This window comes from Homo sapiens, chromosome 8 (assembly GCF_000001405.40).
Source record: "Homo sapiens chromosome 8, GRCh38.p14 Primary Assembly".
NCBI lineage: Eukaryota > Metazoa > Chordata > Mammalia > Primates > Hominidae > Homo > Homo sapiens.
In genome coordinates this window covers 28,399,798-28,422,184 of record NC_000008.11, presented here as the reverse complement: position 1 = coordinate 28,422,184, position 22,387 = coordinate 28,399,798, and the positions used below count along the sequence as shown (strand labels likewise).

Here is a 22,387-nt window from a genome sequence, read left to right as displayed (position 1 = left end):
AAACTGGAGTTTTGGGAGGTAATTAGGATGGTTTGGAAATATCTTCCCCACACCACCCTACCCCAGAATGCCAACAAAGCAATGATGCTTCTGCTTCCCATGCAGCTCTTGTTGCCATAAAAGTCATCTCAGTTATTGTGCAACTGACCTAGAAGCCTCAGACAGAGCCGTGACACTTACAGAAACTTCAGGATACAAAGGAGGTGCGGAGGGCAAGGGGGAAAGCGACAGGTATTTACTAAACCAGATACTTCCTCAACTATTTTTGTGCTCTATCTTATCCAATCTTCACAAGAATCTTACGAGGTAATAGGTAGGTATTTTTATCCTCATGTGCTGAAAGTGGCCACAGCTATGAAGAAGCAGAGCTGGGATTTCAACCCAGATGTGTTTGACTCCGAAGATCTGCTCTTTCCACCTTGCAGCTTCCCCAGAAACTCTGGTTTCTTTCTATCTGGGTATTTCTCCCTATCTCCTGCCATGCTTTGATTCCACCTTCATTCAGCATTTGTGCTGAGAAGCAGTACTTCCGAGGAAGAGAGGTCAGCACCAGGCCTGGGTTGGTGGCTAACGCCTGTCATCCCAGCCCTTTGGAAGGCTGAGACGGGAGAATTGCTGGAGGCCAGGAGTTTTAGACCAGTCTGGGCAACATAGTGAGACCACGTGTCCACAAAAAATTTTTTTAAAACTTAGCTGAGCACAGTGGTGCATGACTGCAGTCCCAGCTGCTTGGAAGGCTGAAGCAGTAGGGGTTACTTGCACCCAGGTGTTCAAAGCTGCAGGAGTTCAAGACTCTAGTCTGAGTAACAGAGCAAGACTCTGTCTCTAAATAAAATAAACAAGCAAAAGCCAAATAAAAAAAGAGAGGTTAGCTCCAGTACAGTAAAGAAGGATGCATGGCCGGGCGCAGTGGCTCATGGCTGTAAGCCAGCACTTTGGGAGGCCGAGGCGGGTGGATCACTTGAGGTCAGGAGTTTGAGACCACCCTGGTCAACATGGCGAAACCCTGTCTGCACTAAAAATACAAAAATTAACCGGCTGTGATGGTGGGTACCTGTAATCCTAGCTACTCAGGACAGGGAGGCAGGAGAATCACTTGAGCCCGGGCAGTGGAGGTTGCAGTGAGCCAAGATTGCGCCACTGCACTTCAGCCTGGGCGACAGAGTGAGACTAAAAACAAAAAACAAAACAAAACAAAACAAAACACACACACACACACACACACACACACACACACACACAAAAATGTTTGCCAAGCCTGTAATGTCGAACACTTGCATTCTTATGCTACAAAAAAAAAAAAAGAGAGAGAGAGAGGGAGAGATAGACAGAAGGATGCAGACCAAGGGTTGGCAGCGTCACCTCCTCAGGGCTCTAAGAGGATGGCAGAAGGCTGCTCTCAGAAACAGAGATTTCAAGAGGTACTTAATCCTTTGTAACTCATCCCTACCCTGATTATATTTGCAAAATCCTAAAACCAGGGGACCTATGTAAGTTTCTTTGTGTGCATGACGGACAGCGGAAGCTATGGAGGCAGTGCCCCTGCCATCAGCCAATTTAGGAAAGGGAGAGTTCGGGGGATGAAACTCAAGAGAGAGACAGCTGTGGGAAGGGCACTACTGAGAAGACGGGGAAATTGTGAGTTCTGGGGTGCTCGCTCCAAAGGACTAGGGAACCCGACAACTAGACCTATGTGGTTGGCCCTCCCAGGTCCAGACAAGCGGAAGCTGGTACCATTAAAAAACCCCAGTGCTGGCTGGGCGAAGTGGCTCACACCTGTAATCTTAGCACTTTGGGAGGCCGAGGTGGGCAGATCACTTGAAGTCGGGAGCTCAAGACCAGCCTGGCCAACAGGGTGAAACCCCGTTACTACTAAAAATACAAAAATTAGCTGGCCGTGGTGGTGGGTGCCTGTAATCCCAGCTACTTGGGAAGCTGAGGCAGGAGAATCACTGGAACCCAGGAGGCAGAGGTTGCATTGAGCTGAGATTGCGTCAATGCACTGCAGCCTGGGCGACAGAGTGAGACTCCGTCTCCACACACACACACACACACACACACACACACACACACACACACACACAGCAAAAAAAAACAAAAACAAAAAACACACAAAACCCCAGTGCCATCTCAAACTCCTCCTTAACCGGCCAGGTTTACATTTTGATGTGAATCTGGACTTCTCTCCCCTTCGAAGTCTTGATCTTCCCATATTCACATTATATATACTGTCCATTTTGCTCAATCTGTCTTCTACTCAAGTGATTTCTGCATGTATCTTATCTCCCCACTAGGTTGGAAATTCTTCAAAGCATTCCAGTTTCATTCATTCCATATTTCCACATTTTCTTTCACGTAGTAGACACATGATTGGCGTTTGACAGTAGCACTGTCATTGGAATGTCTTTGGAAGATCCGAAATGTACATTTCTCAGCAGGCTTCTGTAGTCACTGACACCAGCTGAGAATGGACACAAGAGGGCGCTTCTTCCCCTCTTATTTGAGTTCAGGGCACATCACTACTGCCCATTTGTGTCTCAAAAACTCAAACAGGACTGGCGTTCCTGAAAACACAGCTTTCCCTACTACTACGGAGGGGCTCTGGGAAATTTTGAATATATATGCTGACACCCTTAGAGAATCACTCACTTATTCCACTCAAGTCTTTGATTCCATTAGCATCATTCAAGCAAATAATCACATTGTCAGTTTTTGAACAACTTATAGTCTAAAGAAACATAACCACTTTAAAAGGTAACCAACTGGCGGGGCGCGCTCGCTCACACCTGTAATCCCAGTACTTTGGAAGTCCGAGCCGGGTGGATCACGAGGTCAGGAGCTCGAGACCAGCCTGGTCAACATGTTGAAACCTCGTCTCTACTAAAATACAAAAATTAGCTGGGCAAGGTGGCGGCGCGCCAGTAGTCCCAGCTACACGGGAGGCTGAGGCAGGAGAATCGGTTGAACCCGGGAGGCACACCACTGCACTCCAGCCTAGCAACAGAGCAAGACTCTGTCTCAAAAAAAAAAAAAAAAAGTAACCAACCATGTCACCCATTAGGATGGCTGTTATCAACAACAAACAAAACAGAAAATAAGTTTTCGAGGAGGTGGAAAAATTAGAATTTTTGTGCATTGCTGATGGGAATGTAAAATTGTGCACCTGCAATTTAAAAAAAAACAAACAGTATGGGCCGAGAGCGGTGGCTCACGCCTGTAATCCCAGCACTTTGGGAAGCCAAGGCAGGCAGATCATTTGAGGTCAGGAGTTCAAGACCAGCCTGGCCAACATAGTGAAACACTGTCTCTACTAAAAATACAGAAAATCAGCAGAGCGTGGTGGTGTGTGCCTATAATACCAGCTACTCAGGAGGCTGAGGCAGGAGAATTGCCTGAACCTGGGAGGCAGAGGTTGCAGTGAGCTGAGATCATGCCACTGCGCTCCAGCTTGGGTGACAGAGTGAGACTCTGTCTCAAAAAACAAACAAAACACAATATGACGTTCTTCAAGAAACTAAACAGAATTTCCATGTGATCCATCATCATACATCTGGGGAAATACACAAAAGGACTGAAAACGGGCTCAAACAGATGTTTGTACACCCATGTTCACAACAGCATTCTTCACAATAGCCCAGAGGTGGAAGCAGCCCAAGGGACCATTGAGAGATGAATGGAGAAGCAAAATGTGGTCCATTCATACCGTGGAATATTATTCAGCCTTAAAAAGGAAGGACATTCTGACCCATGCTACAACATGGATGAACCTTGAGGACATTACACTGAGTGAAATAAGCCAGATACAAAAAGGAAGCTGAATCTTTTTTTTTTTTTTTTTTTTGAGACAGAGTCTGTCTCTGTTGCCCAGGCTGGAGTGCAGTGGCACCATCTTGGCTCACTGCAACACCTCCCTCCCAGGTTCAGGTGATTCTCCTGCCTCAGCCTCCTGAGTAGCTGAGACTATAGGTGTGTGCCACCATACCCGGCTAATTTTTGTATGTTTAGTAGAGATGGGGTTTCACCATGTTGACCAGGCTGGTCTTGAACTCCTGACCTCAAGTGATCCGCCTGCCTCGGCCTCCCAAAGCACTGGGATGACAGGCGTGAGCCACCGCACCCGGCTACAGGAAGGTGAATCTTGACCTAGGCCTGGAAGCAAGAAGGGTGATGCTTGGATAGACACAGAGTAGGAGGTAACAGTAGTAGCAAGAGGACAAAGGGAGGAAAAAGTTTGCTACCAGAGCCTTTGTGGGTTCCTGCGTACAGAAGTGATATGATAAAAGAAATATTTTTAGAAGATTCATGGGACATAGGATAGATCTGAGGGAGAAAAACTGTAGGTAGATAAATGACTTTAGATGCTGCAGCAATAATTTGGGACTAGATTAAGGACAGTGGTATTGATGAAAATAAATGGATGGATTAGGCTGGGCAAGGTGGCTCATGCCTGTAATCCCAGCATTTTGGGAGGCCGAAGCAGGCGGATTGCTTGAGGTCAAGAGTTCGACACCAGTCTGGCCAACATGGCGAAACCCATCCCTACAAAAAATACCAAAAAAAAAAAAAAAAAATTAGCGGAGGATAGTGGCACACGCCTGTAATCCCAGCTACTCCGGAGGCTAAGGTATGAGAATTGCTTGAGCCTGGGAGGCGGAGGCTGCAGTGGGCCAAGATCATGACACTGCACTCCAGCCTGGGTGACAGAGTGAGACTCCATCTCAAAAAAGAAATGGATGGATTAAAATGATGGACCTTGAGAAAACAAAACAAAACAAAAAAAACAGGGTAGGGGTTCGAGGGTGAGTCAAGGAAGTAGAGTCCAAATTGATTACCAAGGGTCGATAAAGCCTCTAGCCCAGACTTCTGGAAGGTTGGTGCCAAAACTCTCCATACAGCATCTACATTCCAATTGCTGCATGTTGTTAAACAAAGTAAATATAATCCGACAAGTTTTTCCAAATATGCTATGAGTGACTTGCAGACTTTCATAAAATATTAAAGTTTTAGTCTGCTTGTTTTGTTTCTTTTCTAAGTCACTCCCTTCTTTAAAGAAGGATACATTTATCTCCGCTTTCCCTACAGCCTTGCTATGGGGTGATTCTTCCGTGCCCATGAGAAAACCAAGCTGTTGTAAATATGATCTGCTGTGGCCGAATCTTTATGATTTATTTGCCGCTTGTTCATTCATTTTGTCATCTACAAGGCTAGGAGAGAAAATGCATTGGCATTAATGGGGCACATGTTAGAAATGCAGAAGCTTGGTCCCTACCCCAAGCCTAATGAATCAGAATCCCCATGATTTCTTTTCTTTTTTTCTTTTCTTTTCTTTCTTTTTTTTTTTTTGAGACAAGAGTCTCGCTCTGTTGCCCAGGCTGGAGTACAGTGGCGTGATCTCGGCTCACTGCAATGTCTGCCTCCCGGGTCCAAGCGATTCTCCTGCCTCAGCCTCCTGAGTAGCTGAGATTACAGATGCGCACCATCACGCCCAGCTAATTTTTGTATTTTTAGTAGAGATGGGGTTTCACCATGTTGGTCAGGCTGGTCTTGAACTCCTGACCTCGTGATCTGCCCGTCTCGGCCTCCCAAAGTGCTGGGATTACAGGCATGAGCCACTGCGCCCAGCTGATTTCTTTAAAGACATGGAATGCTTCATGTATTGGCGTGTCATCCTCCCACAGGGGCCATGCTAATCTCTGTATCATTTCAATTGTAGTATATGCACTGCTGAGGCAAGCACAGAATCTGCATGTTTAATAAGCTCTCCCTCCATTCGTATGCCTATTAAAGCTTGTAAAGTAGGAAACCCTGTGCTGCAAAACAAAATCTGAACTCCTAACAAAGTTCTCCAACAGCTTTTCAATCTTATTTTATCTTACTCCAACACTTGAACTCTCTGCTTCCAATGCAATTCAGAAAGGAAAGTATCCTTGCATTGACAAGTAGAAGAATTGAGTTTTTTATTTTATTTTATTTTTTTATTTTGAGTCAAAGTCTAGCTCTGTCACCCAGGCTGGAGTGCAGTGGCATGATCTCGGCTCACTGCAACCTCTGCCCCTTGGGTTCAAGCGATTCCCCTGCCTCAGCCTCCAGAGTAGCTGGGATGACAGGCATGCACCACCAGCCCAGCTAATGTTTTGTGTTTTTAGTAGAGACGGGTTTCATCGTGTTGGTCAGGCTGGTCTGGAACTCCTGGCTTCAGGTGATCCACCCACCTTTGTCTCCGAAAGTGCTGGGATTACAGGTGTGAGCCACAGTGCCCGGCCAGAAGAATGAGTTAACTACAGCTGAGCACACAAAAAAGTAAGAATCCACTAGGCAGTACTTGATTAAGTGCCAGATGACTAGCAGAGGCAAGACATGCTCTGAGTTAGAAGGAGTCATCATGATTTTTGAAGTTTTCACCAAGTAGAGAGTTAATTTGGTCTTTTAAGGTTGGGGAGGTTTCTGCAGTCAGGAATAGGGGGAGAGTACCAGGGACATGGAGTGGTTTATGCAAAGCAAACAAATAAGAAAGCAAAAATGAACAGAGATTAGACAACTTTGCTATCAAGGGGAGTAGCTGCGATCTGGCTGGAAAAACTGTGAATAAGAGGCCAAGTATTTGTTCGGGAGGGCGGTGTTTTCTCTAACTTATTCATGATAAAATTTTGATATATTGCATTCCATCACAAAACAAACAGAAACGCTTTTGAAGAAGGAAAATGGCTATATAATTAATTGACGTGCATTATAAAAATCACAACCACCCGTATGTGCCCATGAGAAAACCAATCTATCGAAGTAAATATGATCTGCTGTGGTCAAATCTTTATGATTTATTTGCTGCTTAATCATTCATTTTGTCATCTACAAGAGTAGCAGACGAAAGCTTGGATTTACTACTACAGAAAAACAAGTACATATAGGGAAAAAATATTTACAAACTGAGAAAGTTCTATCCACTAACTTCTTTTCTCTATGAATTGGGGAAAGGTCAGGGTTATCTGATACAAGGGCAGACCGTTTTGGTTCAGCTCATAGACCACAGTCTTCCCAGGGAACATGGATTAAGTCCTGCAGTGGACCGTGGGAAGCAAGGTCTTGAAAGGATAAAATGTGCTTTTAGGCAGATTACTCCGGTAACCCTACACAGGATGGGTTGGTAAAGGGAGCAAGGAGAGACAGGAAGACCCGTTAGGAGATTGCAGCAGTAAACAGCAGTAATCCAGGCTTGAGTTGGTGCAAGAAGATCTTGTGTTTATACAGTACTTTAGGTATACAAATTCTCTTCACAGACACTACTTAAAATGATTATGTGAGGTAGGTAGAGTCATTTTTTTTTAATTTGGAGATTTAATTAAAAAGGTAGCTATGTGAGAGGTATTTTAAAAAGAATTAGCAGGACTTAGGGTGGTGGGGAAGTGGGCAGGGGAGGGATGGGAGAGGAATCAAAGATGATACTGAAGTGTTTAAGCTCGGGTGACTCGGGGAATGTCGCTGCTATTGAGGGAAAGCTGGTGTGGAGGGGGGGTTGTGATGGTAAATTTTATTCTTTCTTTTTATTCTGAAATAATTTCAAATTGACAGGAAATTATCTGAAAGAATCGAACAAAATAACTCACCTATTCTCTGCCCAGAGACTCATCGCCTTTCATCTGTGGCCTCTATGACATTCTTTTTTTTTTTTTTTCCTGAGATGGAGTCTCGCACTGTCACCCAGGCTGGAGTGCAGTGGTGCGATCTCAGCTCACTGCAATCTCCACCTCCCACATTCAAGTGATTCTCTTGCCTCAGCCTCCCAAGTAGCTGGGGCAACAGGCACCCACCACCACATCCAGCTAATTTTTGGATTTTTAGTAGAGACGGGGTTTCGCCATGTTGGCCAGACTGGTCTCGAACTCCTGACCTCAAGTGATCTGCCCGCCTCAGCCTCCCAAAGTGCAGGGATTACAGACATGAGCCACGGCGCCCAGACTTCAATGACATTCTTTACAGCGCAATAATCACACGTTGGACACAGTTGCTCTGCTGAATCTACTTCCACCTGGGGCGGCTCCTCAAGTTTCCTTGGCTCTCAAGGTCTCGACTTTTTTGAATATTACAGGCCATTTTGTAGGCTGTGCCTCAATTTGGGTTTGTCTAGCGTTTCCTCATAAGACGTGGGTCCTGCATCTTTGACGGGAACGTGGCAGAAGTCACGCTGCGACTCCTCATTGGGTTTCACCAGGTGGCACGCAATGTCAACTTATCTCTTTATCTGTGGGTTCACGTTCATGATTTGATTAGGATGATGTGCGCCTGGTCTCACCATGGTAAAATTACTTCTAAGGGCTTTCTAATTACTGAAATATTTTGTGAGGAGATGCTTTGAAAGGCTGCTGGCAAGCCTGGCTTCGGGAGGGTTCCACCTGCATAGCTGCAAAGCATCCTGACTTTGAAGGGTACGAGGTTCGGTTTACTTTTTGCTCAGGAAGGAAGGGGGCGGGGAAGGGAGGAAAGAAAGAAGATTGATAAAAAGGGAAGAAGGAAGGGAGGGAAGGAGAAAGGAGGGAAGGAAAGAAGAGAGAGAAGGAGAAAGGAGGGAAAGAAAGAAGAGAGGGAAGGAGTGAGGAAGGAAGAAAGGAAGGAAGAAGGAAGGAAGGAAGGAAAGAAAGGAAGGAAGGAAGGAAAGGAAGGGAGGGATGGAGGGAGGGAGGAAGGGAGGGAAGGAAGGAAAAGTCAGGCACGGTAGCTCACGCTTGTCATTCAGCACTTTGGGAGGCCGAGGTGGATCACTTGAGTCCAGGAGTTCTAGACCAGCCTGGGCAACATAGGAAGGCCCAATTTCTCCAAAAAAAAAAAAAAAAAAAAAATTAGCCAGGGGTGGTGGTTCACACCTGTCATCCCAGCTACTCGGGAGGCTGAGGTAGGAGAATCTCTTGAGCATGGGAGGTAGAGGCTGCAGTGAGCCACAATCATGCTACCACACTCCAGCCTGGGCGACAGAGTGAGACCCTGTCTCTATTTGAGACAGCGTCTAGCTCTCTTACCCAGGCTGGAATGCAGTGGCTCCGTCTCTGCTCAATTTCATTTTTCACTGGGCCCTGCAAATTACGCAGCAGCGGGCCCAGGGTAATAGAGCAAGAGTCAACTCTTCTTGCCTTTGGGAATATTTTGGGGTGACAATGAGAGGGCAGGATCTTGTCCTACCGTCAAAGTGGAAGTAAACTTGGATTTCGCCTCGGGCATGTGTGTCTGCAGGGCAGAGTGCGGGGCTGGCAGGGATGGGTTTACAGATGGAGGTGAAAGATGGGCCCAAGGCCTTTGGTGGATCAGACTTAGACAAAGAAGCTGAGGTAGAAAAACAGTGGGGTTGGCCGGGCGCGGTGACTCATGCCTGTAATCCCAGCCCTTTAGGAGGCTGAGGCAGGAGGATCGCTTGAGCCCAGGAGTTCAAGACCAGCTTGGGCAAGCCCCATAGCAGGAACCTGTCTCTAAAAAAAGATTTTTCAAAAATTAGTTGGGTGTGGTGGCGCGCATGTGAGTCCCAGCTACTCAGGAGGCTGGGGCAGCTGGATCGCTTGAACCTGGGAGCTTAGGGCTGCAGTGAGCCGTAGTCACGCCACCGCCCCCCAGCCTGGGCCACACAGCACCCTGTCTCAAAAAAAAAAAAAAAAAAAAAAAAAAAGAAAAGAAAAGAAAAAGAAAACGAAAGAAAGAAAAAGAAAAACAAAGCCAGGGCAAGGAGGGGGCCGCAGCAGGCCGAGGACGAGCCACGCGCCCAAAGAAAAGCGGGTGCAGTGCTCAGTGCTCAGGCCTGCCGGGGATCGGGCCCCGGAGAGGCCGTGGGGACGCCGTGCCAGGGCGCGCGCCAACGGATCAGACCGGGCAGCCTCCCCCGCTGTCCACACAGATGCCAGCGCGCGCGCTCGGTTTGGCTCCCCAGGATCCCCGGCGGAGCAGGACTACGGGACAAAGGGGCCGGTCCAGCCGCCGGCAGCGAGACCCGAGCGTTGCGGCCGCAGGCATGGCCTGCCCCCTTGCCTGGTCCCCTGCGCACGGCCGGCAGCCTGCAGCGAGCGGCCTGGGAGGCGGGGGGCGCCCTGCCCGGTCTCCCCTGCAGGCGGCGCGCAGGGGTGGGGCGGAGGCCTTCGTGGGCCCGGGCACGTCCCAGCCGCGCCCTCCCGGCCCCTTGCCCAGGGGGTTGAGCCGGCAGGGAGGTGCCTCCCTCTCCCTCCCAGGCCCGGGCGCTTCCGCCGGCCGCAGCCGGGGTTGAGGACCGAGCAGGAGGGGGACGCCGGGCTGAAGCCGCGGGTTGTCCCCGCCTCGAGGGCAGGGCCGGGGAGCGCAAACGCAGCCTTTCCAGGAACTCGCACCGCGCTGCAGAGGGGCTGCCGGGCCCCAGCGAGCCGCAGGACAGACGCGGCCCGGCATCCTCGTCCGCACTCGCAGTGGGGGGAGCAGCGCGGAAACCCGACGCCGCCGCTCCCTGGCCGATGGCCTCTCGAATCTTCCCGGCGGCGGCCGGCGCGGGGCTGCGTCACCTGCAGAACTTTCAGGAAGGGGCCTGGAGGAAATCAACCTGATGCAAAGGATTGGGAAGGAAACCGAGGAGATTGGAGATCGTTTTCAACCTCCTCCCGCCGCTTTATAATAAAAGTAATATGTGCTTAGTGTATACACTATGGCAAATCAGAAAAGTGTAAATAATTAGCCCCCCCCACAAAAAAAACCCCGCAGAAACGCACCCATAATTCCACCACCCGAAGCAAACACTTTACGTAGTGGGATATTTCTTCACGTTTTGCTCTATTTCTCTTTACAGACTTGATCATTCTGTGCAAGTCATTAGTGTCTTGCTTTTTGTACTTAATATCTTAGAAACATTTCCCATTTCCTTAAACACATCATAAATATGTTTAATGGTTCGATGTTAACATTGTACAGCTGTACCAAAATGTAATCATTTTCATTTTTTTAAAGGATCAAAGGATACAAATACTTTTAAAGTTCTTTTTTTTTTTTTTAAGATAGGGTTTTCTATCCACTGTCTAGTTTTATATATATATAAAATTGGGCAGTGGCCCAATCTCTGCCCCCTCCCTGGGGTTCAAGTGATTCTCCTGCCTCAGCCTCCCAAGTAGCTGGGACTACAGGCGTGTGCCACTATGCCTAGTAGAGACGGGGTTTCACCATGTTGGCCAGGCTGATCCTGAACTCCTGACCTCAAGTGATCCGCCTGCCTCAGCCTGGGATTACAGGCCTGAGCCACTGCGCCTGGCCTGGTCATAATTTTATGGATGGTTTGCTCTGGTCACTCTGCTAGTTGCGTCCCCAAGGCTAGGACAGTGCTCTTTCTTGTAGAACAAGCAGCCTCTGGTCACTGGCTGTTTCTTCGGTTCTAGCTTCAGAGCCAGCTCCTGTCGCTTATGGGAGCAGATAACATATCATCGCCTGCAGGCCAAGCCCAGGCTTCTGACCCTTGGCTTCTCAGAATGGTTGCTCCTTTTTGTTTTGTTTTGTTTTGTTTTGAGACAGAGTCTTGCTCTGTCACTCAGGTTGGATTGCAATGGCGCAATCACAGCTCACTGCAGCCTTGACCTCCTGGGCTCAAGAGATCCTTCAGCCTCAGTCTCCCAAGTAGCTAGCTGGGACCGCAGGCACCACCACACCACACTAATTAAAAAAAAAAAAAAATTGGTAGAGACCGGGTCTCACTATGTGGCCCAGGCTGGTCTCAAACTCCAGGACTCAAGCCATTCTCCTGCCTCAGCCTCCCAAAGTGTTGGGATTACAGGCATGAGCCACTGCACCCAGCCTGATAAATTGTCCTTCTTATGGATTTACATAGGCTGAACATCTGCTCCTTTGTAGTGTGACAGGGACAGAGCAGTAAAAGGCTGCCTTCGAAGAAGCCAGACTCTACCATGCAGAGGACATGAGCCTTCCTTTGCTGGTCTGTGTCTCAAACCTTCCTTATTAAGCTGGCAAAAGCCTTATTTTATTATTATTTTTTTCTTTTTCTTTTTTTGTTTTTTGAGACAGGGTCTCATTCTGTTACCCAGGCTGAAGTGCAGTGGCACGAGCACGGCTCATTGCAGCCTTGACCACCTGGGCTCAGGTGACCCTCCCACCTCACCCTCCCGAGTAGCTGGGACTACAGGCATGTGTCATCATGCTGGGCTAATTTTTTGTATTTTTTGTAGAGACAAGGTTTTGCCATGTTGCCCAGGCTGGTCTCGAGCTCCTGAGCTCAAACAATCCTCCTGCCTCGGCCTCCCAAAGTGCAGGAATTACAGATGTGGGCCACCATGCCTGGCCTACTGTGTTTTTCAATGACTTAAAATTTATTTTAAAAATTACCACAAGTGTATAGCATATTCACACCTTTACAAGTCATCATCAAGTTTTTAAAGAAAATAGTATTGTTTGTGTTGTATTTTCATGTAATTTCTATATTGTTTCAATTCTGCAATTTGCTTTCCTGCCCTTAAAAGAAATTAAAGTAGAATATACACAAATCACAATGTACAGTTTGATGAATTCTTTCAAACTGAAGACACCTAGTTATTTGCATTCAGCTCAAGAAACATTTCCAGCGCCCCATACACAAGGGCACCTCGTAGAGAGCTTTATGTTCTTGCTCTTTCTTCTCTCTTTTCAGAAATTTACCTGATGTGAAAATTGATTTTTGTTTGATTTAAAGTCCCCAGCTTTCTAGCATGCAGAATGTGTACAATGGAAGAAACATTTCCTTCTTTCCTTCCTGCTCTGATGAGGCTAAGTTAAAATTAAGTGCAAAATGTTGACCTCTCAGGAGAAAGCTTGAGGGAAGATGCATAGATTCATAGATATTTAAAGCTGGAAGAGACTCTAAAAAGAGGAGGTTATGACCAAGGTGTTGTACCTCCTGAGTGGCAGATCTGGGACTTGAGCCCAGGCCTTCTAACAACCAACCATTATTCTCTCCTCTGCTAATGTTATGTAAATAGCCATAACCCAGGGTGGAAGGAGGTACTAGGAAGAGAGACTTCAGGAAGATTTCCTGCAGACCATGGAACAATGACAGGGTGGCCAACTGTGAACAAGGATACATACAGGTGGTTCCCTGCTTCTATTCTCCTGGAAAGAACCATACTGCTTTTTTGGGGGGGTGGGGATGGAGTCTGTTGCCCAGGCTGGAGTATAGTGGCGCAATCTCAGCTCACTGCAACCTCCGCATCCCGGCTTCAAGCAATTCTGCCTCAGCCTCCCAAGTAGCTGGGATACAGGCGCATGCCGCCACGCCCGGCTAATTTTTTGTATTTTAGTATAGACAGGGTTTAACCATGTTGCCCAGGCTGGTCGCAAACTCCTGAGCTCGGGCAATCCGCTGGCCTTGGCCTCCCAAAGTGCTGGGATTATAGGTGTGAGCCACCGTGCCTGGCCCATGCTGCCTTTTGGTTGCTTCCTGATATAGCCTCTAACAGTTTCCTTAAGTCCATGTATCCCAAATTGTGTGTTGAGGTGCCCTAGGGTGCTGCCACAAATTCACAGGGGCACGTCAAGATATTTTATTTTTTTGAGACAGAGTCTCGCTCTGTCGCCCAGGCTGGCATTCAGTGGCATGATCTCGGCTCACTGCAACCTCCACCTCCTGGGTTCAAGGGATTCTCCTGCTTCAGCCTCCCCAAGTAGCTGGGACTACAGGAGTGTACCACCATGCCAGGCTAATGTTTGTATTTTTAGTAGAGATGGGGTTTCGCCATGTTGGCCAGGTTGGTCTTGAACTCCTGGCCTCAAGTGATCCGCCCACCTCAGCCTCCCAAAGTGCTGGGATTACAAGTGGGAGCCACTGCGCCCGGCCTCATCAAGATATTTTAAATGTTGCAGAGGGACACAGTGACACCTGCCATCTGTCACACACTGCATGAACTGTTAGTCAAAGGCAATGCACAGTTTCAACATTACATTGCATTACATTCCTTTCAGTGGCATCGTATCTTGACAGAATTGGGTTTTGCCGGATACTGTGTTAAAAAGCAAGCACTGCATATGAAAATGGATGGGAAATAGGAAATCAGGACGATTGTGTGCATCTGATTCTAAGGTTTGGGAAATTGTGCAGTGCTCAACAGGTGCACTCATCCTGTTAGAAAGAAATTGCAGTCATTTAAGAATAAAATAGGCAGGGGGCGGTGGCTCATGCCTGTAATCCCAGCACTTTGGGAGGCCAAGGTGAGTGGATCACCTGAAGTCAGGCGTTCAAGACCAGCCTGGGCAACATGGTGAAACCCCGTCTCTACTAAAAATACAAAAATTAGCCGGGCGTGGTGGCACACACCTGTAATACCAGCTACTCGGGAGACTGAGGCAGGAGAATCACTTGAACCCAGGAGGCAGAGGTTGCGGTGAGCCAAGATCATGCCATTGCACTCCAGCCTGGAGGACGAGAGCAAAACTTCGTCTCAAAAAAAAAAATTAAAAAAAAAAAGAATAAAATAAAGGCCAGGCGCAGTGGTTCACACCTGTCATCCCAAGACTTTAGGAGGCCGAGGCGGGCGGATCACCTGAGGTCAGGAATTCAAGACTAGCCTGGCCAACATGGTGAAATCCCATCTCTACTAAATATACAAAATTAGCAGGGAGTGGAGGCGCATGCCTGTAATCCCAGCTACTCAGGAGACTGAGGCAGGAGAATCACTTGAACCCGGGAGGCGGAGGTTGCAGTGAGCCAAGATCCTGCCATTGCACTCCAGCCTGGGCAAAAAGAGCGACACTCCATCTCAAAAAAAAAAAAAAAAAAGAATAAAATAAAAACATCAATTTCCTTCAATTTCTATGTATTGTTTTTGCAAATAATTACTAAATTGTTAAGACATGAATACCTATTAAGTTGTTTGGACCTTTGTACTTAACAATCCGTTAGGTATTTCTTTTGACCTAGGGGCTCTGTGAACCTTTGCCTTTGGGATAAGGCTAGGTGAGATCAGGTTCAAGTTACTGCAGCATCTCTAGTATTATGTCTCAACTGGATGTTAAGCTGGTAGACCAGAGTCCAGGATGATTTTATCCAGATACAGAAACTAAGTCTCAGCAAGTAACTTGATAGAGGTCATCTACCTTCAGCAGATTCATGTTTCATGAGGCCTGAGGTTTACACAATCGTTGAAGCCCTGTTTCAGGACAATAATGCAAAATTAGGGATTTGAAAATTGGGCAGCAGGCTTGCAAGGGGCCTGTGTAAAGTGAGGGGGCCTGAAGCTTAAGGTCCATCAGAGTCATGAGCCTCTGCCACCAGCTAGTAAGTAGTGGAAATGGAAATTCAAACCCAGCTTTGACTTCAAGGAACCTGGCATTGAGACCCCAATTCCTGTATCTTCTCATGGGAAGGTTTCGAGAAGCAATTGGGGAGGGCTTTGGTGTCAAAGCTGAATTTGTTTGAATTCTGGCTCCACCACTTCCTAGCCCTGTGCGCTGGGAAAGTTACTGACCCTCTCTGGGGGTTACTGAGGCAATAACACCCACTCCCCACAAGATTGTCAGGATTAAATGAGATACTACTGCTGGTGAAATTGTCTAGTCTACAGCAGACACACCAACCATGTTAATCTCCCTCCCCTTCCTCTGCTCCCAACAAGTATCATGTGTATATGGAGGCAAAATAAATATAGACAAGCTAGCTGGTGGAGTTTCCTTTGTGTGGGGGTGAATTCAGTAAATGCATATATATGGCAAGCAACTGTCTGCAAAAGATGCAAATCAGATCACATTGGCAGACCTTTGCCCGGTGTCTTGTCTTGGTTCAGTGCCTAGCTGTGTCTATATACAGGGGTTCCTCATTGCCCATAGACTAAGGTAGAAACTCCTTATCCTGGCATTTGAAATTTCCCACAATCTGGCCTCAACCTAATCCTCCAACATTTTGTCTTACTATGGTCCGTGCAAACCCCTCTTGTTTTCCCATGGCCTCAGCAGAAAGCTACCTCCACTCCCAGGACTTCTATTTCCTGAATCCCAAATCCTACCCATCCTTCAGGGTAAGTTCAAACCCTCTTTTGCAGTGAGCATTTTCTGCCCAATCCCAGGCCTTGGGGAATCCAGTCTTCTCAACTTGAGCCACACCTACCATATGTACCATGCATTCGAGTCTTAACCACATACTGCCTCATTTAATTCTGTAAGTTTTAGGGAGTTTGTTTTTCGTTCCAATTGCATTGTAAGTACAGAGCAGTGTGAAGGAAATAACATCAGGTTGAAAGCAGAGACTTGGCCTCTGTTTCCAACTTGTCATATAACCCCAGGCAAATATCTTTCCTTGATTCCTTTAACTCTGAAGTGAAAGAGTTGGATAAGGGAACTCTAAAATTTGTTAAAATTAGGAACCTCTCTACAGGGCTCAGTGTGGTGATACATACAAAAGCTTAGCCTGCGCAACACAGAGAGACCCTGTCTCTACAAAAAAAATTTAAAATTAGCCGGATGTAGTGGCTCATGCCTGTAGTCCTAGCTACTCAGGAGGCTGAGGTGGGAGGATCGCTTGAGCCCAGGAGGTTGAGGCTGCAGTGAGCTATAATTGCACCACTGCACTCCAGCCTGATTGGCAGAGCAAGACCCTGTCTCAAAAATCAATAAAATCAATAAAATAAAATCTCATTGAACAAATATTCAAACATTTGTTGATCACTTACACCCCAAGCACTGAGCTAGGTGCTAAAGGATGAATAACAGTAAACAAAACACGGTGTCTGCTCTCAGGAAACATACAGTGCAAGGGAAAGCCAGACATACATACTCACTTGTGAATCAAGAGCTCAGAGACCAGGAGATGTCAGACTACCCGTCCACATTGTATCTGGGAGTTACTTTGTCTCCCCACTCCACTGCCTGGACCCATGACTTCCTTCTCTGAACCCCATATTTCCCCATTCCAGCACTGCATCATGCACACCTGTGTCAATAGAGCTACCTTGCCCTCCAACCCTCCATTCACTCTGCTGGTAATCTTGAAGTCAGTCCTAAAGCTGAGGTGAAGGAGGGATCAGGAAGAGTGGTAGGGACACTAAGAACACAGCACAGAGTGATTGTTTTGATGGCTTTATTAGATGCCAAATGCTGCCTGCACACTTTACCTACTTTCGCTCATTCAGTCCCAACAATATCTCTAAGCCGTAGTTACTATCACCATCCCAGGTTTACAAATGAGGAACCGGAGGCAGAGAGAAGTCAAATGACTTGTCCGAGAGAGCAAGTAGGCGGAGGAGCTGGTTTGGAATCCAGGTAGTCTGGCTCCATAGTTCATTCTCTCTCAACGCCTACCTGAAATGACTGCTTTTCTTTTTTTTTCTTTTTTTTTTTTTTTGAGACGGAGTCTGGCTCTGTTGCCCAGGCTGGAGTGCAGTGGCGCGATGTCGGCTCACTGCAAGCTCCGCCTCCCGGGTTCACGCCATTTTCCTGCCTCAGCCTCCCGAATAGCTGGGACTACAGGCGCCTGCCACCGCACCCGGCTAATTTTTTTGTATTTTTAGTAGAGACAGGGTTTCACTGTGTTAGCCAGGATGGTCTCGATCTCCTGACCTCGTGATCCGCCCGCCTCGGCCTCCCAAAGTGCTGGGATTACAGGCGTGAGCCACCGCGCCCGGCCATGACTGCTTATCTTGCAGTGAAGGTTTAGTGAAGGTTCTCCAGCTTCCTTTTCCGCCAGCTCTGATCTATTTCCTGGAGCTACCTTGAGACAGATAGAAGGTAAAGGGCATTTTCCCTGGGAGGGAAGATCTGGAGGGTGTTAACTGGATGACAATAGCTGGATACTGCCAGTTTCCGGGTAGTCATCTTGATGCAAGGCAGGTGAACCCCAAAGAGGGGTTTAGCCCGTGAGGGTTCTTGGCTTTGCTCAGGAAAGAATTCAAGGGTGAGCTAGTAGTAGGGTAGAAGATAACAGCTTTACTGAAGTGGCAATGTTACAACTCCAGCAGCGTTACAGCCCCTCAACTGCTCCTGCAGAGCAGGGCTACCCCATAAGGCAGTGTGCTGAGAGTAGCAGCTCAGGCTGCAGTCAGATTTACACCTACTTTCAATTACATGTAACAGATTAAGGGGTGGTTTATGCAGAAATGTCTAGGAGAAGGGTGGTAACTTTTGGGTCATTGAGTCATTGCCATGGAAAGGGGCAGTCATTCTGGGGTGTTGCCATGGCAATGATACACTGACATGGTGGGCGTGTCTTTCCCACCAGTGAAGTGTCTTTCCCACTTCACTGATGGGAAAGCTGCTTCCTCTCTGTCCCTCTTTTAGTTAGTGCTCAGTTTGGTCCAGTGTCCAAGCCCCACCTCTGGAGTCGAGTCCTGCTATCTACCTCCATTTGCCCCTGAATTACACAAAGAGATCAGGGTAGAAAGAAGCCCTTGGCAACAGGAGTTCTGAGTTCCAGTCTTGGTTCGGATCTAGGAAATTTTTCCACCTTTCCTTCCTTAAAATACCAGTTTTATTCAGGAATAATTTAGATAAAACACAATTTACCAACTTTAAGTGCACATTTCAATGAATGTTGACAATTGTATATAGCCTTGTGACCACCACAACAATCAAAATATAAAACAGTTCCATCATCCCCCCAAATTTCCTCTTGCCCCTTTCTCGTCAATCCCCTCCTTCTGACCCTGTCCCCTGGTAACCTCTGATCTGCTCACTGCCGTTACAGTTTTGTCATTTCTGGAATTTCACAGAAATGGAATCATTACAGTATGTCTGGCTTTTTTCACATAGCTAATACTTTATGTATTTTTATTTTAAATTTATTTGAGAGACAGGGTCTCATTCTGTCGCCCAGGTTGAATGCAGTGGTGAGATCACAGCTCACTGCAGCTTTGAACTTCTGTGTTCAAGTGATCCACCCACCTCAGCCTCTCCAGCAGCTGAGAATACAGGACTGCACCACCATGCCTGGCTAATTTTTCTAATTTTTGAAGAGATGCGGGTTGTTGAGGGGGGTGTCTCACTATGTTGCCCAGGCTGGTCTCAAACTCCTGGCCTCAAGTGATCTCCTACCTTGGCCTCCCAAAGTGTTGGGATTACAATGGTGGGCCACTGTGCCGGGTCCACCAGAGCGAATACTTCTGAGGTTCCTCCCAGGTAGTGACTGCATCAGAAGTTTATTTCTTTTTATTGAGTAGCGTTCCATTGCATGGGTATATTGCAATTTGGTTATTCACTTTCCTGTTCACAGATATTGTGATTATTTTCTGGTTGGCTGTGATGCACGTAGAAGTCTTAGTGTGGGCATCTGTTTTAATTTCTCTTGGGTAATACCTAGGAGTGGGACTGTTGTGTGGTCGATGTATGGTGCACACTGAAATCCTTCCAGCTTTCTGAACCTCAAGTTTCCCCACCCTTAGAGAAGACAGCAGGACGAGCACAGGGTTAGGTGAGCTCCATTCCAGGAACGGAGAGGCGTGGGAGGCCCTACAATGTAGGCCTGTGTGTGCAGGAGGCAGGAGGGCGGGGTGTTTATGCAGCAGGAGCCTGTGCGTTCAGGGGGCTTGAGATGTCGGGTTCTGTGGACACAGGCAGGAAGCTTAAGAGGCTCTGCTGAGCAGGGACCTGGGGAAGAGGTGAGAGCCCTGCAGCCGGGCAGCGCTCCGAGGCTGCGCTGGCAGAAGCAGCAACCGCGGCAAAGTCGTCGGGGAACCCACTGCAGCCCTCGCCGGGCGGCGAGGCCATAGCCAGTTCCCAGCTGGACCCGTGGAGGGGCGGGGGCGGGAGAGCGGCGCCCCAGGCGGGCTCCACGAAGCTGGAGGAGACTAGGCCAGACCCTCGCCCCGCCCCTTCCCCTGCTTTCCCCTTCCCCCTCCCCTGCTTTCCCCTCCGTCCCTCCCCTCCTTCTCTCCCTCCTCCCCTCCTTCTCTCCCTCCTCCCCTCCCTCCGCCCCTCCACTCTCTTTCCTTCCTTCCCTGTCCCTCCTCCTCCCTCCCTCCTCCCCATCTACCCCTCCCCCCTCCCTCCCTCCTCCCCACCTCCTCCCTCCCTCCTCCTCCCCTCTTCTCTCCACCGACGCTGCGCAGGCCCCGCCTACAACAAGAGTCACGTGCGCGGCACGCACCCTCCCTCGGCTGGGGCTCTGGCCGCAGAATCCCGGGGGAAGAGGGTTGGGGCTGGCTGGGCACTCGGCACGGGCCGGGACCCCGCCGCTAGTAGGCGGACGCCAGGAAGGGCCAGACGGATGGCGCGGGGCGGGGCTTGTCGCGAAGGGCGGGGCCTGTTGCCAGGGCTGGCGCAGGAAACGGGCCGAGGGGCGGGGCTGCCGGCTGCCGACTGGGGTGCTGTTTACTCCTGGCGGGGGAGCTTTAACCCTCGGGCGCGGGGCGGCCGGGAAAACGCGGCGCCGGAGCCGCGGCCCCGGAGCCGGAGGTGGGGCGGGAGGGAGGGAGGGAGGGGCTGGCTGAAGACGCCCTGGAAGGCTGGGCTTTTATTTTTCTTATTTTATTTAAAAAATGTCTCGCCTGCTTTCCTTGCCGCCCACCTCCCATGCCACACACACAGACACGCGTGCGCGCGCGCACTCACACGTACACCCCCGAGTGCGCACACACGCACATACACGCGCGCACACACGACACACATACGTACACACATGCGTGCACACACGGGCGCGCTCACACATGCACAAATACACGCGCACACACACGGATACACACGCGCGCGTGCACACAAGCACATACACCCGAGTGCACTCACACGTGCGCATACACACGTACACACGCGTCACACACATACACACTCGCGCACCCACACATATACACGCGTGTACACACACGTACACACACTCGCGCACACGCCTGCGTGCACCTACACATATACACACGTGCACACACACGTACACACATGCGCACACACGCGGTAAGTGGTTGCTAGAGGCTGCGTGCACGCAGCGCTCTGGGCCCCGAGCGGCGCGTCCGGGCAACGCTGCTTGGGAGGTGGAGATCTGACACGTGTGGTCCCTGAGGGCGTCTCTGCCACTTCTCCTAATCCAGGAAATGACTCGGTGGCAGCATCGCCCTATGGTTTGTGTGCCTGCATGAGACTCCAGTCACGCACTAAGCTGATCTGAGTCTGTACTCTAGGCAGTCTGGCCTCCTACGCTTCATTTTCTAATTTATGCAGTCGATGCAAGAGTTTTCCGTAAACCGTGGAGCGCTCCACGAGGGTATCTGCATGAACACTGAGGACAGCAGGCTCAGTTGCGGTGCCTTCCTCCACGAAGTCAGTTTTCCATTATCTGAGAAATCCAGAGTAGAGAGACGCTGTGACACGTAACTTGGTAATGTCTTAATAACCACCCAGGTAACCGTTTTGCACCTGAGGAACGGAGGCTGAGAAAGGCAAAGCGGTTTGTCAGAGGTCGCACAGCTAGTGAAAGTGCACGTGTCCTTTGACTCTCAAAGGTGTCCCTTCTCCCTCGTGTAATGGACATATGTGATTTTCTCTGTCCCGCATCCCTTCCTATGGGACCTCACTTCTCTATTCCCTGTGGTTTTTTTTGGGCTGGCCACCGTAGGATTCCATCTCTGGCAACAGCGGTCCAAAGGGTGAGCGTTTTCACTGAGCAGAATCAATTACAGTCTTTCCCTGGAACTAATATATGAATGTGCGAGAGAAAAATTTGTTTTCTGCTGGTGCTGCTAAATTAGGATGTCATAGCTGGGAGCTGCCAGCAGCCATGTTCCCAAGTGCACGAGGGAAGCTCATTTTTGAGGGCTGGGGGCTCTTTTGAAGTAGGAAAAAATGGGACTGATATGAAGGAGCAAACCAGAAATGAGAGATTTAGAGAACAGACCCTACCAACTTTGTTTAAACCCAGGGTCGTGCTGTGCCTGGGGCCAGTTATACTCCTGAGTTTCCCAGTTAAGGAAGCTAACAAGTTCATTTTTTTTGCTTAAGCTAGCATGAATTCAGTTCCTGTCACTTGTCTCCAAAAACAGGCCTGACTAATAAGTTTGGCACGGTGGTATTTATTTATCCCTCAAAGAATAATGGAAATTGGGTGCTGGCCACAGCTATCACTTCTTAAGTGTTCCACTTCCCAGAATGAGTCATAGCAAGTGTGAGTCCCGTGAAAATCTAATTCTTCCTCAATATTATTGCTTTTATACACAGAAAACAATTCAACAGGCCCAAGTTAGAGATTGGACAGATAACACTTGACCTTGGGATATGATGATGGTCTGGATCGTGCAGAGGGTAAGACTGAGATTGTCGAGGTGAGATTACTAGAAGGTTTTTAGCAACATGGGGAAAGACAAAGAAGGAGAGAGAGAAAGAAAAGAAAGGAATAAAGGGGGAAGGAAGGAAAGAAAGGAAAGGAAAGGAAGAAAGAAAGACTGATAGAATAATAACTATTCTTGCCAGGCATGGTGGCTCACACCTGTAATCCGGCACTTTGGGAGGCCGAGGT

General features: G+C 48.5%; 1 pseudogene, besides 12 other annotated features; it reads right to left on the bottom strand.

Annotated features, from left to right (window-relative positions):
* Positions 2,397 to 2,613: a silencer, noted in NCBI's record as "fragment chr8:28277089-28277305 (GRCh37/hg19 assembly coordinates)". NCBI's record gives its function as "represses an EF-1alpha promoter that drives an FKBP-Casp9 reporter gene in an ReSE screen in K562 erythroleukemia cells {active_cell/tissue: K562}" and the evidence as "EXISTENCE:reporter gene assay evidence [ECO:0000049][PMID:32094911]".
* RNU6-178P (RNA, U6 small nuclear 178, pseudogene) lies at positions 5,634 to 5,737 on the bottom strand (annotated as a pseudogene).
* Positions 9,740 to 10,419: a silencer, noted in NCBI's record as "silent region_19059". NCBI's record gives its function as "represses an Ori minimal core promoter by ATAC-STARR-seq in GM12878 lymphoblastoid cells {active_cell/tissue: GM12878}" and the evidence as "EXISTENCE:reporter gene assay evidence [ECO:0000049][PMID:35858748]".
* Positions 9,740 to 10,528: a biological region, named in NCBI's record as "H3K27ac-H3K4me1 hESC enhancer GRCh37_chr8:28269174-28269793".
* Positions 9,909 to 10,528: an enhancer, noted in NCBI's record as "H3K27ac-H3K4me1 hESC enhancer chr8:28269174-28269793 (GRCh37/hg19 assembly coordinates)". NCBI's record gives its function as "activates a minimal SCP1, AML or CMV promoter by ChIP-STARR-seq in naive H9 embryonic stem cells {active_cell/tissue: H9 hESC(naive)}" and the evidence as "EXISTENCE:reporter gene assay evidence [ECO:0000049][PMID:30033119]".
* Positions 10,500 to 10,689: an enhancer, noted in NCBI's record as "active region_27172". NCBI's record gives its function as "activates an Ori minimal core promoter by ATAC-STARR-seq in GM12878 lymphoblastoid cells {active_cell/tissue: GM12878}" and the evidence as "EXISTENCE:reporter gene assay evidence [ECO:0000049][PMID:35858748]".
* Positions 10,500 to 11,147: a biological region, named in NCBI's record as "H3K27ac-H3K4me1 hESC enhancer GRCh37_chr8:28268555-28269173".
* Positions 10,529 to 11,147: an enhancer, noted in NCBI's record as "H3K27ac-H3K4me1 hESC enhancer chr8:28268555-28269173 (GRCh37/hg19 assembly coordinates)". NCBI's record gives its function as "activates a minimal SCP1, AML or CMV promoter by ChIP-STARR-seq in naive H9 embryonic stem cells {active_cell/tissue: H9 hESC(naive)}" and the evidence as "EXISTENCE:reporter gene assay evidence [ECO:0000049][PMID:30033119]".
* Positions 15,628 to 15,677: an enhancer, noted in NCBI's record as "active region_27171". NCBI's record gives its function as "activates an Ori minimal core promoter by ATAC-STARR-seq in GM12878 lymphoblastoid cells {active_cell/tissue: GM12878}" and the evidence as "EXISTENCE:reporter gene assay evidence [ECO:0000049][PMID:35858748]".
* Positions 15,728 to 15,777: an enhancer, noted in NCBI's record as "active region_27170". NCBI's record gives its function as "activates an Ori minimal core promoter by ATAC-STARR-seq in GM12878 lymphoblastoid cells {active_cell/tissue: GM12878}" and the evidence as "EXISTENCE:reporter gene assay evidence [ECO:0000049][PMID:35858748]".
* Positions 19,441 to 19,510: an enhancer, noted in NCBI's record as "active region_27169". NCBI's record gives its function as "activates an Ori minimal core promoter by ATAC-STARR-seq in GM12878 lymphoblastoid cells {active_cell/tissue: GM12878}" and the evidence as "EXISTENCE:reporter gene assay evidence [ECO:0000049][PMID:35858748]".
* Positions 19,701 to 19,810: a silencer, noted in NCBI's record as "silent region_19058". NCBI's record gives its function as "represses an Ori minimal core promoter by ATAC-STARR-seq in GM12878 lymphoblastoid cells {active_cell/tissue: GM12878}" and the evidence as "EXISTENCE:reporter gene assay evidence [ECO:0000049][PMID:35858748]".
* Positions 20,061 to 20,310: a silencer, noted in NCBI's record as "silent region_19057". NCBI's record gives its function as "represses an Ori minimal core promoter by ATAC-STARR-seq in GM12878 lymphoblastoid cells {active_cell/tissue: GM12878}" and the evidence as "EXISTENCE:reporter gene assay evidence [ECO:0000049][PMID:35858748]".